Source organism: Homo sapiens, chromosome 8 (assembly GCF_000001405.40).
Source record: "Homo sapiens chromosome 8, GRCh38.p14 Primary Assembly".
NCBI lineage: Eukaryota > Metazoa > Chordata > Mammalia > Primates > Hominidae > Homo > Homo sapiens.
Genome location: NC_000008.11, coordinates 63,679,320 through 63,695,818, shown reverse-complemented (window position 1 = coordinate 63,695,818; position 16,499 = coordinate 63,679,320). Strand labels below are relative to the sequence as shown.

Here is a 16,499-nt window from a genome sequence, read left to right as displayed (position 1 = left end):
TTATAAGTCATATGGTAATCTTATGTTAACCATTTAAAAAATTGTCAGAGTGTTTTCTATAGTGGCTGTACCATTTTACACTTTCATAGCCATATATAAGTGTTCTGATTTCTCTGCATTCTTGACAACACTTGTTATCTGACTTTTTTATTCTACCCAACCTACTGGGTGTAAAATGATATCTCATTGTGGCTTTCATTTGCATTTTTCTGTTTACTAATGCTGTCAAGGGTCTGTTCATGTGTTTATTGGTCATTATTACATATTCTTTGAATAAATGTCTATTCAGATCCTTTGTTATTATTTGGGTTATTTGTCTTTTTATTAGTAAGTTGTAAATTTTCTTTGTGTATTATAATTACAAGTCTCTTATTAGATATATGATTTTAAAATATTTTACCCATTCTGTGGGTTCTCTTTTCACTTTATTTCTAGCTTCCTTTGAAGTACAAACATTTTTCAATTTTATTGATGTCCACTTTATCTATTGTTTTTATTTTGTTCACACTTTTGGTGTCATATCCAAAAAAAGCATTGCCAAATCTAAATAAACCACTATAAATAAACCATTATATTTTATTCTGCGAGAGTTTTATGATTTAGCTCTTACATTTAGGTTTTATATTTATTTTGAATTAACTTTTGTATATGGTGTGAGGTAAGGGTCTTTTATTTTCATGTGTCTATCCATTTGTTGACAACACTGTTTTTTGCCCATTGAATGGCCTTGCTACCCTTCTTGAAAATCAGTTGAGTACAAATATGTCAGTTTATTTCTGAACTCACAATTCTATTTCATCACTCTATATGTCTATCATTGTGCCAGTTCCACGTTGTCTTGATTACTATTGCTTTGTAATTAAGTCTTGAAATCAGAAAGTATGAGTTCTCCAACTTTTTCAGACAATTTTTTTTCAAGATTGTGTCACCATTTTGAGTTCCTTGCAATTCCATATGAGTTTTAGAATTGGTCTGACGATTTCTATGAGGAAGACAGCTGGGATTCCGATAACCATTGCCTTGTATCTGTAGGTCAATTTGGAGAGCACTGCTATCTTAAAAATATTAAGTCTTCTGATCCATAAACTGCTTCTAATATTGTAAAATACACTTTTACTTTGCTTTATTTAATCTATTTTCACTTTATCAGTCGTGTGAAAGAGGAGTATAATAGGGAAATAGAGAATTTAAGTACAGTGGTATGGAGAACAGAACCCTAGTTAAAAAAACAGAACATGGTGCCTGTAAGTAAATTCAAGTAGAGCAGTTCCCTGTAAGATCAATCTTTTTTGTTTTGGGGGAAATCCTTAAGGCCCCATTCCAGTGCCTCATTTGGGGTCATCTCTTTTTTCCACATGCTGCAGCCCCTGGGCTCCATTCCTTTTTACTGCTGTGGCTGCCATGGCAACGGTTCACATAGGCTGGAAGAGAGAAGATGAGGCCTCTCTGGAGCCATCATTAGTGGTACTCTGGCCAGCAAGGGGTGCCAAGAAGGGCAGTCACTCCCACCTTCTATTTGTAACTATTCACCCCACACACACACAACCACACCCCCCATTTCCAGGTGAAAGACCTGAAACTGACTGAGAGGTGGCATGTGTGCTGTTGCAAGAAGGAGACCATGAGCTCTCTGGAGAGGTTTGTAGGAATTTGTGAGGATTTTGCTAGGAATTCATGTCAGAACACAATTTATAAGTGATTACCTTGTAGATAGCAAAACTTCTTATTTTCACTATACAATAATTAATTTTTACATTTTCTGCACTAAAAAGATCCACACGTTAGCTTCTCCTCTCCTGCTGCACAGTGCATTGAACATCCTAGGGATGTAATAAATGTTTATAAAGATGAGTTTTAATGCCTTGTCTCTAGATGCTGCAGCAAGTTCTGTTTCCATTCAGGGTACATCAGTGGATCACTGCCCCCCCATTCCTTTCCTAGTACAATAGTATGAATTTCAAGAGGACATGAGGTGCATATTTCACCATTCTATTTCATGCATGCACCAGAATATTTTTCTTTATACATATGGGCAGACAAGCAGCTATTAATTAAAATGTGATACCAAATACACTATAGAAGAACTTTGGAGGACAAGGTAGTGGCCTCCTGTCACTCTCCTAGAATAACATTGGGTGGCTAGTCATGGATTTATAGTTCTGGATTTATGTTATATGGAATAATTTGCACATCTCTGGCTTGTGATCAAGAAACCTCCTAATCTTTGATGCCTATGACTGGCAGTTTTTACCTTTGCAAATTCTTTGGTATGCAACCAATGCTGCCTGATACACATGGTGACTAAATATTTATCAAACATTCAGACACTTACTCAGCGGATTAATTATTAAACAAGCTTTCACTGAACTATCTTTCTTTTTGCTACAGTGAATTCTCTGTTGCTCAGTTGACATATGTTCTGAGGAAGCAGGGAAATAGCCAACTCAGCAAATTTTATTACTTTCAAGGTTATGCATTTAAGTGTGTGAAGGCAAGATACACATGAAAGCCCATGTCACTAATTTGGCATGCTTAAAAGAGTGTTTCAAAATATAGGTGAACCTCATCATGGCTTTGACTTATTTACTTTTTTAGCATATTTAATTTTTTAAAAGTAAATCATTAGTAATGCATTAACTGACAAGAAAAAAATCTTCTAACAGATAAAATAATTATTTTTTCTATAAAACATTATTACATGATATTCTCCTGTACATTATTTTATTTTCCCTATTAAACCCAACACAGTTTTTGTATTTCCATTTTATAGATAAAGAAGATGAGGTTCTAAGTGGCCAAACGAGCACTGGAACCTGTATTCTGCTTTATGCAGCATAAAATAGTTACGTTATTAAAGAAAAAGTTAAATAGAGTTGATACTTAGATAAATCAGATTTTATTTTAGCAATAATTTTTATTATTCTCTGTACTCAAACTAAAATTATACTATAGACAATTCCTCTCATTTTTGATAGACTCTGCCAAAAATAAGTTACTGTTTTCTTAAACCAGATAAGAAGAAATTGGAGAAAGGAGTGAGTACTTCGGATTCATCTAAAGCAGCTCTACTATGACATCACGATAGTCAGAAGCAGGATGGGCAGGTCTCCATTGATCAAGTGATCATATAGTAAACACCAGAATCAGTCATCCCAAAACTGGTAACTGTAGAGAAAATTGTAGAAATAAGACAGTAGGGGTAGGGGGCAAAAAGGAAACCAATTTCTGTCACTATTGAACTGTGGGAGATTATTAAGCAATAAGAATCTGTTTTGTGTCTTTGACATAGAATTTGCACTCCTCTGAAGAATATCAGTTCTTTTACAGAGTTTGACAGCTGCCTTCAGTTAAATCTCGGTAATTTTATATCTCTCTGATAAGAAGAATAGATCTCAGGCTGCCACATATAATGCATCCAGCATTTTTATATTCAAATCCAATAATGGGGTCATCAGGTATTTTCCCTTAGATAACCTCAACAAATCACTACAATTAACTTCTAAATGCCAACTCTCTTGCCTTTTCTTTAGTATTCATAATCTACCTTTTTTGACAGTCTGCTTAGTCTTGTAAAATAAAACTTTAAACAATATTCTCCAAATCACGTAAATAAATAATATGGAAATAAGGCACTTTAACATGCTTCCAAATTATTTTTTGTGAAAAAAAATTTAAAATCACACTATTTTCTATACATGTGATAATTAATGTCTATTCTAAATAGGTCAAGATATTAGTATTATATTACTGACCAGTCATTAATTATTAATGTATTGTTTCAAACAAATAATAATAATACAAGTTACAACATTATCAGCAAATGTGTTCATGTTGTAAAACAGGAATGGTATATTTAATTAGTTGTAAGTAATACAAATGCTTGACATAAACTCTTGAGACTTCAGATGTGGAGATGTTTTGTGAGAAGCTTTGAAATCCACTGGCATACACCATTCTTTTATTCAAGACAAATATGCGAGAGAATCAGCAGGAGTCCATTCTGACTTCTAGAGAGTGCCCTGGAGCAGTCCACAGGAAGGTGCTGGAAAAGGCAGCCGCAGATAGTCCAGGTACACGATTATTTCAGCCTGAAATGCAGCAGAATAATCAGACTAGTGTTAAAGTATTGCTACAGTGTACATGACCTGGAAACTGTTTTATGAAGGTTGCAGAGACATCCTAGACCTCCTTTGATAATTATAAAGAAAAGATGCTTTCTCTAGAAAATAAGGAGAAGATTCAAATACAAGGCATAATTTATTTAGTCTTAGAGATATAAATGACATTCCTAATAAGTACTTGGATGAATTGTTAAGTAACTGACATTTTACCCCAGAACATTTAAGTTCTTTATAGAAAAATAAAAGTTCAAATTCTATGGATTTTTCTAGTATTTCCAACTCTGTATTGGAAAATCAAATGCCATTTAAAAAATCAGCAGTTTACCCCCAATAGAATTGCCCTCCAAGTAAACTGAAAGAAGGGGGGACAAAAGGATTTGTAGTATTAGCAATATACAAGGACTGACTTTCAGATCCATGCTAAAGGTCAGGTGTAATATTCAAAAACAAATTAAAAGGCAGCCATTCTATTGGACTCAGAAGATTCCAGCAGACGTTGGGCACCCATGGGCATTGGCTCCAAACATGTTTATTGTGATCACACCCCAGATGATGCTGCAAGCACTATTAAGGACCCTATTCACCACCATCCTTCTTGCATTATGTATGCAGTTATTGTTTTGCATTATGCACTATCTAGAATGATACAAAAACATTTTGCTAAAAAATAAACCACTGGTTTTATGCTTAGCACCAGGATTACAAAATGTGATGTCATGAATTATTCATATCATTCGATTTAATGTAATCATTTTCTCCCCAGTGCTAAGCCTCTGTGAATGGTGTCCTATGCAGCCACTGTTTTGAAGAACTTAATACTAGGGGGAGAAACACCTGGCTTTAACTGACAGTGAATTAGGCTCATTGTCACTTTAGAAAAAAATTGCAATTTCATCTTTGATCTTCTGTACATCTTAATTCCAAGATACATTTATCAGCACTACAGAATAAACCAACCTTAGGAATTTATAGAATTATTGACCTCGACATTTAGACATAGACATATATAAAAGTACACACTTACATTTGAAATTTGAACTATAGAATGGAATTCATCTTTGTCACATTCAAAGCAATAGTGGGACATATTTCTAATGTGTTTACTCTAATAGCAAATAGATTTTGATACACATTTATAATTTATTTAGATCAAATCTTTCAAAGTACTGACCTTAGGACAAAGCATGTTGAGAAAGATAAATATATCAATGCAACTTAGCCTACAGATTAAAGTAATTTATCTTCAAGGCAGCCCCAAAACATCAAAACCAAGAGAATAGAGAGCTTCCAAAAGTTTTTAACTCTACAGAGAAAGGACAAACATCAGTTCCAAATTAGTAGAAGCAACTTTTAAAAATCAGAATCTCCTTATGATAGCTTATGCTTGATTTTTAATCTATGTTTTAAAGTGGTGAAGCTATACTAAAATGTTTTCATTACTCTTAAATTAGAAGCTATACTAAAATGTTTTCATTACTCTTAAATTAGAAAATTGTTCATTTGGGGGCTGAATATACGATCTTATTACTATGACAAGAACAAAGAGTCAGCGAACCTGATTCCTAAGCCAAGTCCCTTTCACTGTCTTGAGCCTTTAAAAAGATAATGATATCACCCCCCCAGTCACCCTTAGGATGTTGTAGGAAGACGTAGATGACATACTGGGAGGTAAAACTTCAAAAACTCTAATGTGATCCCCAAATATGGGGAATTATCATTTAAAACCACAATCATCTATAGTCCATACATATCTATAATGGACAGAAATATGAGAATGAATAAGCAAAGATACTTATGTACACCAATAATAAAGTAAGAAAGGTAAAAAAATTCATGTAATAAGAAAAAATAACAACCCAGAAATTTAAGAATTAAGTAGTAGTCAAATCTAATTGGAATAACTCACCTATATAAAAAACAAGAGGAAGGAAACTTTATACATAGGTCTGGAAAATATCACAACTATGTTCCCAGAAGAATGTTTATCTCCACAGCATCCAACCTAGTGTCATGCACACAGTTGGGACTCAGCCACTGTTGCCTGATTGATAATGAAGACAGTCACTGTGATCAACCCAACAGTAATTGAACGTTCATTTTTAATAAGGTCAGTGTAAAATCTGTCTACTGCACCCCTGTGATAACAAATGCATAGAAAGCTTAAAACTCCATCTTTAACAAATAATAACAAATTGATGATGTCCACCAATTTCCAAAACAGCAATGAGGTATTTTAATGGGAGGGGGTATGGAGAAAGGAAGGCAGGGTGGTAGATGGAAAATACTACTTAAGCTAATGGTTTGTTCAATTTACTTCTAAAATGCACCCTTTTCTACTTAATAGCCTTAGGTAAAGAAAGTTCCTCTTTCCCCTAAATAAAAATTATTAGGCATTTTGTCTATTAATCTTAGTAGCATGCTTCAACCAGAGTCTCATTAACATTGTGAACTGGGCCAGAAGACACTGTGTCGTGTTATGAGAGCTGATGTCCTTTCATTTCAAGAGCACCTTGACCTTCTCCAGCAGTGGCATCATGTTCTCCTATCACGGTTCTTACTACTTCCCAATGCGGCTGCCTGGTCTCCCTAGAGCCCAAGAGCCATCAGCACAGGGTGGTCCCTGAGGTGGCCTGCACAGGAAGCCCCTGGGTTGGGTTTTAATGTGCTCACTCACACACTCACTCACTCACTCATGATAATTTTAAAAAATTATCATGTATTCAAATCCAAATTAAAAAAAATGTTTGTGCTCAAAAAAAAAATCTGGAGAACTGAGAACCAGAGCCAGTGCTTTAAGTCTCTTGGTGAAGCTACAGCCTAATTACTGCCTGCTGTGTGGCGCAGTTAAACACAATCAGTCAGAAAGCCTTAAAGATACAATATCCCTTTTCACAAACTGTCTGCTTGTCAATTCCAAGTCACCCCCCTGCTTTAAATCAACCAACCACAGAGCTGTTATGAACAGCAACTGATTTTCCATGCAGTGCTGCAAAACAAAATCACACCGTATCCTATTTTTAATGGCCAGTTTTTCAACTGCATAACAAGAGTTAGCTGGCACTGCTGAGCTGAACGGTATCAAAAAAATGGGTTCAAGTAGAAAGAGCTTGGAACCCTTGAAGTGAACAAGTACAGACCCAATTACAAGTGCATTGTGGTGCTCAGTACCAATTACATCCAAATAACAGTGGAGCAAATTTCCCCTTAATAGTTATATTGTAGACATCAACTTCTTTTATTTTCATTCCTGCAGGATACAGCTTGATATTGAAAAGAAAAAAAAAACTGAATCATAAATATTATTTTATTAACACACAGTCTATTTATGCAGAAAGGCTCTTCTTTGATGTCAATGTAGGAACTTGGTAGCCTGGTCACCAGAGAGGGGTGTTCTGCTTCTTTAGAAAGAATCCGTGGTTTGTCAGAAATTTCACTTGGGAAAATCAGATTTTCTTGCTTGTGTATTGCTCGATAGAAGCGATCTTTTCTCAAACAATATGCTTTTTAATTATTTGAGGCTTAGGGACATAAACAGGCAGTTTGATGTTTGTTTGTTTGTTTGTTTGTTTGTTTTAAAGAAATCTTAGCCCTATCTCCAAAGTAATGAGTAAAATTAGTCAGTCAGTGAATTGAGGAAGCTGCCACTTGGGACTCCAGGGGTTGACATTTGACAGGTTTCTTAAGAGCTAGAAGAAGAAAGAAAGAAACAGGTAAACAAATGAGACTGAATGGGAGTGGAGGTGACAGGAAAGAAGGCATGCACAGCAAAGTAATCCTCAAAACCTTGTAGCTACGACATGGGTAAAGAACAGGCCAGGAGGCCAGACTAAACAAAACAGAACCAAGAAAATGCAGCCAATGAATACGGATTGTGTTTTGCTGACTAACATAGAGTCAGAGAAACAAGGGCCTGGCAAAGTCAGCCTGTGTAATCCTGGACCACGCATTATCCCAGTGGCTGCCCTCACTCTGCTGGAATGATCTGCCTCCAATGGCCAGCTTTCATTTCTTCCTTGGGTATTGGCTTCATTTTTAATTTCTTCTAAACCCATACGAGAAAACTAGTAGTTACAAAATGCCACATCTTCCGGAGGCTGACCAATCAGACTGGAGAAATGTTGCAAGAAAAACAAGTTATTTCCAGGGCATTGTCAACATGTTGCCAAGGATGAGAGCACAATCCGAGCAAATAGATCTTTATCTGTCCCTATCTTCTCCCCATTTTCTCTTTATTTGGCACCATGAGGTGAAGCACATGGTCCAGTATTTTCCCCCAGCTTTGATCCTTTGCTTTTTCCTTTTTTCCAACTCAGTGTGAGCTTCATCTTGAAACATAAAACAAAATATGTTATTTAGGTAGAAGATAAAATTCAAAAGTTTTATTTCAAATGAAAAATAAATGGGAGATGCCACTGATTAAAAGTAAAAATTAGAAACTACTAACTTATCCAATCCTCTCATTTTAGAGATGAGGAAACTGAAGCCTGAGAACAACATGAATTCTACAATACATTTACCGTCAGAAGGCAGCGGTGTCAACGGCCACGACGACACCTGGAACTGATTCCAAGACTTGTGGTCACCGTGGGAATGCTATTTATTGTACATAGTGACTCACAAATCTAGGTTATGTGAACTATAAAAAGCCTGACTCAGAACTCCAGAGAGTAAGGAGCTAATACTTTTTGAAATATAGGCCATAGACTGTGATATAACGATGTTTGTAGAGTTATTTCTCAAGGCAGCATTATTCAAAGCAGCATTCGACATAGTCATACATCCATTAATGAATATGTGTCATGACATTAACCAAAATAGCTTCAGATAACAATTAGCATACGTACTTCTGGGCATATTTGGTGAGAGAGAAGGAAGTAGAGGTAGGACTGAGGTTGGAAGTGTGGGAAGGGGGAGGGACTCTAGCAAAGAAAGAAGGGTGGGCGCTGTGGAGGGCCAGTGAGGGAGGGGAACTGAGGCCAGGATCCCCCAGCAGCCCAGGTCTGAGTCATGGGGAGAGGACTGGAGGATCTGGGAGAAGGACCATGAAGCTTTCTTCTGCCCCAGCTCAACTTCGATGTCACCCAAAAATGTTAAGTTTCCCTTCAGGTCCTGCATTTGAATGATTTTAGTTCTTCCTCCCTTACTCCAAATTTCCCCAACATTTATCAATAGCTGACATTCCGTCAGATACTGAGAATTAAGATGACCTAAAACGCAAAGGCTTGGAAAAGACAATGGTCCCTTAGTGGAAATAAAAAATAGAACAAATCCATCAAATGGAAAAGACTGAGGTGTGATCATTTCCTGTTTTGACTAAGGAGAGAATCTGAAAACAGGATACCAGCTACCTCATCTAGGGGAGAAGAAGGAATAAGGTTTTAAAAAGAGGGACATGAAGACACAGAATGAAACCTTCAATAGCATCACCACTCACAGTGGGGCCGTGGAAGGAGCTAAGCACCAAGTGTATCATACTCTGCAGCCAGGAAAGGGAGTTTTACCCTTAAATGATTTATGAAGATTCTGTGGGGGTGTTTTGTAGATGTTATTGGGAGTTTTATTGTTTGCTATTTCTGTTGTTTTTAACATCGCTAGCTTCCTATAAAGAATTTTTCCCCCCAGGGGATTCTATCCCTGTAACTATATTGACTTAATTCTGGAGCACCAGTGCAATTAAAAGACAGTTCTAATTAATAGGCAATAGAATGGTTGTATGTAAAAGATTTCAGCAGTTTATGCTTGGTGCACTAAACGAATCTGAAAAAAGTCACAAAAGGCATCAGAGCTCCATTAGAATTTATCAGCTGAGATGCTTGGAATATTTTTCACACTGGGTAGTCACATCACTCCCTGCAGTTGAGATTGGACTGAAAGAAAAAAAGGTCGACATATTTTTCTGTACCGGTGGCAGTAAAATGGCTTCTCATTTCAACTGAGAAGTACCAACCACCAGAGCAAAAGCACCTTTACAGCAGGAATTCTACTTCTGACCCACCAAGGAAAAACACGATATAATCACTGTCTCTAATTTTCCAGCCAGCAGCCAGACTAACTGGGTCTGACTGTAGGATTTGGGGTCAGACTGCCTGGGTTCCCACCCTGCCTCTGGCCACGAAGAATAAGTAGAATCCTGGACAGATAAACTGAATCTCTCCGCTTTCATGTCCTCATCTGCAAAATGGGATAGTAACAGTGCCTTCCTCCTAGGACTTGGTAAAGATTGCATGAATAACTCACATAATGCATTCAGAATGCTGTTTAGCAGCACAGACAGCACTCGATGAATTTTGTGCTACGATTATTATCCAGGTCCATCATTAGACACTGTGATGGGGTGTAAAGAAACTGTATGATTAAGCACATTCCATACTTCATATCATGATCCAATCTAATAATGCACAGTAGGGGGTGGAGAGGAAGAGGTTCTGAACTCTGAACTTTCAAATAAATGAAGTTCTGCCATGAAACGCTGCACAAACCATGACAATTCCAAGTACTCTTCTATTAATGCCAATGATTTCCAAGCACTTGAACAAAAGAGGATCGTTGGTTATCCACATAGGCTAAACAGTGTAAATCTTTCACATTGTATTGTATTATCACTTATGTACTTCTTGAAAACCATTTTATTGAGGTATGATTGACATACAAAAAGCTGTTCATATTTAACCTATACAACTCAGGGATTTTGGAGATGAGTATATACCCATGAAACTATCACTACTATCTATGCCATAAACCTATCATCTCCAAAACTTCCTTTATTATAATTATTTTTATGATAACAGTACTTAACATAAGATCTACCCTCTTAGAAAATTTTTCAGTATACTATCCAGTATTGTTAAGTACAGGCACTATGCTGTAGATCTCCAGGACTTATTCATCTTGTATAACTTTAAAAAATAACATCCTTGATAGTCTTACTCCTACATGCAGTCTTTCTATAAACTTGCAATAAAAATATTATTAAGAAATTTAAACATTTATTTCCCTACCTATCCCAGGACATCTAGAAAAGCAACACATTTATTGAGAATTTTTGGTCTTTGCATGAGTCTAAGAGTAAGAAAGTATGAATTAAGGTGGTCAAGACATGCTGAGGGTCATTTTGCTAATCTTGTCGGCTTCCCAGGTTCTGAAATCCCTGCCTGTGTTTGGAGAATCCTCCCCTTATTTGGCACAGTGTGCCATTCTCGCAGTCACAGCATTGGCATGAGTCCTAGCCATACCCAGATCTTGAATAGGAAAAATTGGATAGCTGCTCTGCAGCGTCCAGGCAGCAGCAGCTATGACTCTAGGCAAAGCTACAAGTTCCAAGTTCCAAGTTCTGTGGTGTAGGAAGTAAAGCTATGGGACCCAGTGTCCAGTGGCGGTGGTCGCTCCACCAGAATCCCTCTTGAAACTCCATTTGGGGCTCCTTTCCTGATCAAGTAAGCTCTGAGCCTAGTTCTCTGGCCCTGGAGGAGAGGCTGTAACCTACCCAGTATCTTTTTAACAACTTTTTTTTCTCCATGTATCAGTCCCAGTGAGTTTCTGCTACTTACAGCTAAGGACTCTGATTGATACAGTGGCCAAATGGGATCTATTTCAAGCCAGACATTCATTCTCAAAGCCTCGGCAACATTCCCTGGTCATTTCCTGATCAGGGCACATCTTGAAATTGCATTAATCTCTGAGTGCCAGGTTTTGGACAAAATATTGTCAAGCTAGAACTTGATTCCAATGGGGCAAAGCTAGAATAACAGTACTGGAAACAGTACTGATAAGGGAGGTACTGAGAATATTTCTCTAGAGCACTGTTTCCAGGCTGAAATAAAAGAGTAACTGCAAACCTCACTTTCTTCTGATCATACAACATAATCTTCAAAAGATCATCTCCCTGGAGTAAATGTCCTCAGGGATTTCAGCATGGAGTAGCAAGTTAAGTTAGATTACATCTAAGAACCTTCTCATTCTGAAAGGCTATGTGTGCTTTGGAAGACCTAAGTTGCAAAACACCACCTACTCCCCAGTAGAAATTACATTTAATCATCAGTATTACTATCTGCTATAAAGAAGGAAGAATATTTGACAATACAGGTAAATTTTCATGTCCATTTACCTATTTTTCTTAGTTTTTCAAAGTTATGGGTGGACTATAATACATTGAACATCCAGTAGGAACTCAGTCAATACTGTGCTGAACTGAACTGAATCGTGGCCACAGCTCCATTCAGGCAAGGCCATCTTTTCCAATTTCTCAGTTTATCACCCTCACTGGTTCCCTGACTCTCTGTTCACTCTCTTCCTGACCCTAAGTTCACTGGCACCGCTTTAATCACTCAGTCTTCTTGGTCTATCCCCTGCAGACAAGCTCGTTTCAGCTTCCTCCTGACCCTGGATCACCAGCTTTCTTTGCCAACTTTGTTTTCTTCCCTTTCAATTCATCTAGTCCAGTGACCCAGCAGTCTCCTACAGCTGCCCAAGTACCTTTCTTAGGGTAAAGGCTCAGGGACTATTTGTTGAATAAATTAATAATTAACTATCTTATAATGATTTTAACACCCATTAGCTTAAAGCAATTATCATCTTTTGGATATTTTCTATATTTTAATGAATGTAATTTTAAACTCTTCTTGATAAGGGAAAATTTATTAGTTTAAGAGCTTTCAAACATTACATTTGTACTGTTTAATTCTGAGTCAAAGAACGTGCTTAGAAGTCAGGCTTAAAAGGCTGTCTGGGGTAAACATTCTATAAACTTTCAAAATGATAGCTCATTTTTCAATGCCATTGCCTATAAATTTATCATATTCCTAAAATTATGTGATATAATGGTGATAATTAGTATTGCTGCAGACAAAGCTTCTTTTTATAATATAAAATAAATGTAGAGCTCTGCCCCCTTCATTTAATCAAACCAAGGCCACTTTGACCTCTTAAAAAGGTATTGATATTAAATGATCAAATATGGGGCTTTCCCAACTTCATCTGAAGACTGGAAGTACTAGTAAGGTGACGTTAAGTCTTTCACTTTAAACATTCCATCACAACATTTGGGAAAATAATCGTAGTTTCATTTTACTCACAACTGCCCAACTGTTTGATAAGATACAAAGAGCTGGATTCATCAAAGTGATGATAGCAGGTGGTCTTTCAAAATTTTAACCACTAAAAATGCATTTCTATTAATTTTTATCTTCCTCCAAATATTAATGAATAGTTCCAGTGATAATTAGCAATTTTCCCTAATTACATAAAATTGGCACTTCACAAATAACAAACTCTGATATTATCTAGTATTGTGCCAGTTTTCCTATTAATTCGGAAATTCAGCAATTATCACCAGAACCATGTAGGTTAAAGTATGTCAGATTCTGGATAAACAACCTAAAATACCCAGCCATATGAGTTTTGATGTCAGGTAAATTTCAATATTGACATTTGAAGAAAAAAATATATTAGTGACCAACCCTTGCTATTGAAGCACTGTGGGAAAGCTTTCCAAGTTTATTTCAGCCTAGCCCCTGGAGATGACATCAGGTGCAAAACCTGGATAGTTTGTCTCATTGTCAATTTGAAGAAAACAATAAAAAAGTTTAGAAAATTTCTCAAATTCAAAAGCAGCATATATAAAAGTGCTATATGATATCTTAAGTGTACATTGATTTAATTTTCTTCTAAATCCAACAAAATTTAGGAAGACAAAAATCCTTCAGTATCTTTGTCAGTTGAGAAATAATGAACACTTCATGTACTTATCAATTCCTGACATGCAAACATTTTTGCTGAATGTAAACCCATCTATATATAAACTCTGTGTTCTTGAGGTGCAGCTCGATGTTAAGAAGTCAGGAGGTGGAGAAATGCACTATTTCTTTGTTAATTTTGGAGTAGTTTAATGCTGACCAATCAGAATCCTATAATTAACTCTGGACAACACTAGGAATCTTAAGATCAATATTATTTTTTCATTTCAATTGTCATGTAACTCTCAGCACAATGTCACATAGTTTTATTTGGAATGAATCTTCACAAGTTCAACAGTTGAAGGCAAATTCATGATTAGGCCTCTCAGCTTTCAGAAGGCTTTGCTGAACTCAACAGTTCTGAGACCAAAATTTGGACTGATTTTGCGTGCCACTAGAGTAACTGGCTTTTAAAAATGTATACAATTCAGTACAATAAATCAATTTACCAGAAATTGGATCAATTTGACAGATTTCTTAATTAAATTGACATGTAGTATGTGTGTCACCCCTCATCCCAAAAGGAAAGATGAGTTCAGGTGACAAGGGAGCTAAAATTTCTATTAAAATGATAAATAAAACTAGTTTCCAATAAGACCATTCAGAAACTAAGAACAGATTAAAAGTCAAACTATGACTACATTGAAAAATATCACAATTTATTGCCTATTTTCGTGGAGAAAAGACAAGAGAAGAAATGGACTTACATTCTAATAAAATAAATTTAAATCACACCAAAACCAAATCTTCCAATTCTTGAGAGTTAGGTAATAATGAAATGCATTAGACAGAGTGAGATAGTAGAAAATGTTTTTTTTCTCCTGATATTATTTCCTATCCATCAGAATTTAGAAATGAGGGCAATTAGTTTTTGTATCATTCCCCTATGAAAAAAGAAACATTATAATGGTTCTCAATTTTCCTCTGAAACAAGTCCAATCCTATAGCATTGATGCCACCTAACCCATTCGAACATCCCTCCCTATACCCCCTCCACTCTTTCTCTGCCACAGACACTGCATCTATTCCTATCCACTGCAGCTTTAGCTTAGATGGCCCTTTCTTCTTTTCTCTATTTATGCAAATCTCATCATGTTTTAGTAACTCTACCTACTAACATTATATAGAATATATCATATAAACCAATGCTTCTTCCTCCAGTTAGACAGTGCAGTTGAACATATTTCCTCTATCTGAATCCTATCAGTATTTATATTTCCATTTAAAATCCCACCTCTTTCTTGAAACTTTTTCTAAAAACTTAAGCAACAATGACCTCTCCTCCCTGACAGTCTCATAATACCATGCATACTGTAGCATATACTCGACATACAAATTTCATGTTAGAATTTTATTATTTCACTAACTAGTACCATCTTCTAGTTATTTTGAGTACATGAGACTTGTCACCCTAATAGGAGTACAGTGTCATCAAGGGCAAGAACAAATCACACTTTTCTTTTGTGTCATGCAAAAACCCCAGTAAGTACTTGGCAGAAGAGTGTAATGATTTAGAGTAAAGCACAGAGATTTGATCAGATACTATTCTAATCATTTATCACTTACCAGATAGTTTACGTGGTATAAGTTGTTAAATCTCATCTGTAAAAGAGACAGAGTACTTTCTAACCTCATTTATTTGTTGAGGGAATTGAATAAAATAATTCCTGGAAATTTCTAAGTTTAATGTAGTATGGTAAATAGTAGAAAGCTATTATTATTTTGTCATAGCCTGTCTTACATTATAACTTACATTTATATTATAAATATTTGTATTCTAATTTGAAAACCGAGGACTCAACCTGAAGGCTATTTTATTTTTTAAATAAAATACTATAAGCCCTTTTATTCCATGTTTTTAAAAAAATACCACTTGAGTGGTTATTGCCTATAAGCCACCTCATTTCTTCATGTAACTGCTGTTTTTCCTTTTATCTAAGGGGTCTAATCACCCTGGTTTGTCTAGAGTAGTGGGAGATGTCAACATAATAAACAAGTTTGATCTAACTGTATATAACAACTAGAGAATACATACATATTTTCTCAAGAAAATCTGAAGCATTTACAATACTTGATTATTAATAAGATTATAAAGCAACACTCAAAAAAATTTGCAGAATTATTATCAGACTAATCAATATTCTGACCACAATTTTATTAAGTCAATAAATTTTAAAACACTATATATTTGGAAATTAAAAGACAAACAGGCACTTCATTAAATAACTCAGGAGTCAAAGAAGAAATAATGGTGGAAACATAAATTATAATAAATTATAATTAAATTTTATTACTAAAAGGTAATAATAAGAATATGAAAAGTTGTGCCAGATAGTAAAAACAGTATTTACAGGAAAATTTAGAGTTTTAAAATTCTTACTTTGGAAAAGAGAAAAAACTAAAAATTGCTAGGTATCCAATTTTAAAAGTTATAAGGTATAACAACATAAATTCAGACAAATTAAAAAGAGGTACAAATAAAATTAAGGGTGCTAATCTATGAATATTTAAAAAATCCTAGAAAAAATCAATCAAAACAAAAATTTTAAATGCTAATAAAGTAGAAAAAAATGTTAGCTAGATTGTTCAAGGGGAGAAAAGATTTTTATAAATGAATAAAGTAGGCCGGGCACGGTGGCTCATGCCT

General features: G+C 35.6%; 2 long non-coding RNA genes across 2 annotated transcripts in view, besides 1 other annotated feature; one reads left to right on the top strand and one right to left on the bottom strand.

Moving 5' to 3' along the window:
- Positions 1 to 2,877: 2,877 nt before the first annotated feature.
- The window catches only part of LOC124902063 (uncharacterized), a 41,294-nt gene continuing 27,672 nt past the window's right edge, over positions 2,878 to 16,499 (bottom strand). The window contains exon 2 of the long non-coding RNA XR_007061177.1: positions 2,878 to 4,088. This is a non-coding gene — a long non-coding RNA (uncharacterized LOC124902063). The remainder of the gene's footprint in view (positions 4,089 to 16,499) is intronic.
- On the top strand, positions 3,989 to 8,779 carry LOC105375876 (uncharacterized). Its single transcript, XR_928987.2, has 3 exons — positions 3,989 to 4,070; positions 6,116 to 6,228; positions 8,588 to 8,779. It is a non-coding gene; the product is annotated as an uncharacterized LOC105375876 (long non-coding RNA).
- Positions 8,044 to 9,243: an enhancer, noted in NCBI's record as "CDK7 strongly-dependent group 2 enhancer chr8:64599134-64600333 (GRCh37/hg19 assembly coordinates)". NCBI's record gives its function as "activates an origin of replication core promoter dependent on BRD2, BRD4, P300/CBP, MED14 and CDK7 cofactors, with strong dependence on CDK7, by STARR-seq in HCT116 cells {active_cell/tissue: HCT116}" and the evidence as "EXISTENCE:reporter gene assay evidence [ECO:0000049][PMID:35650434]".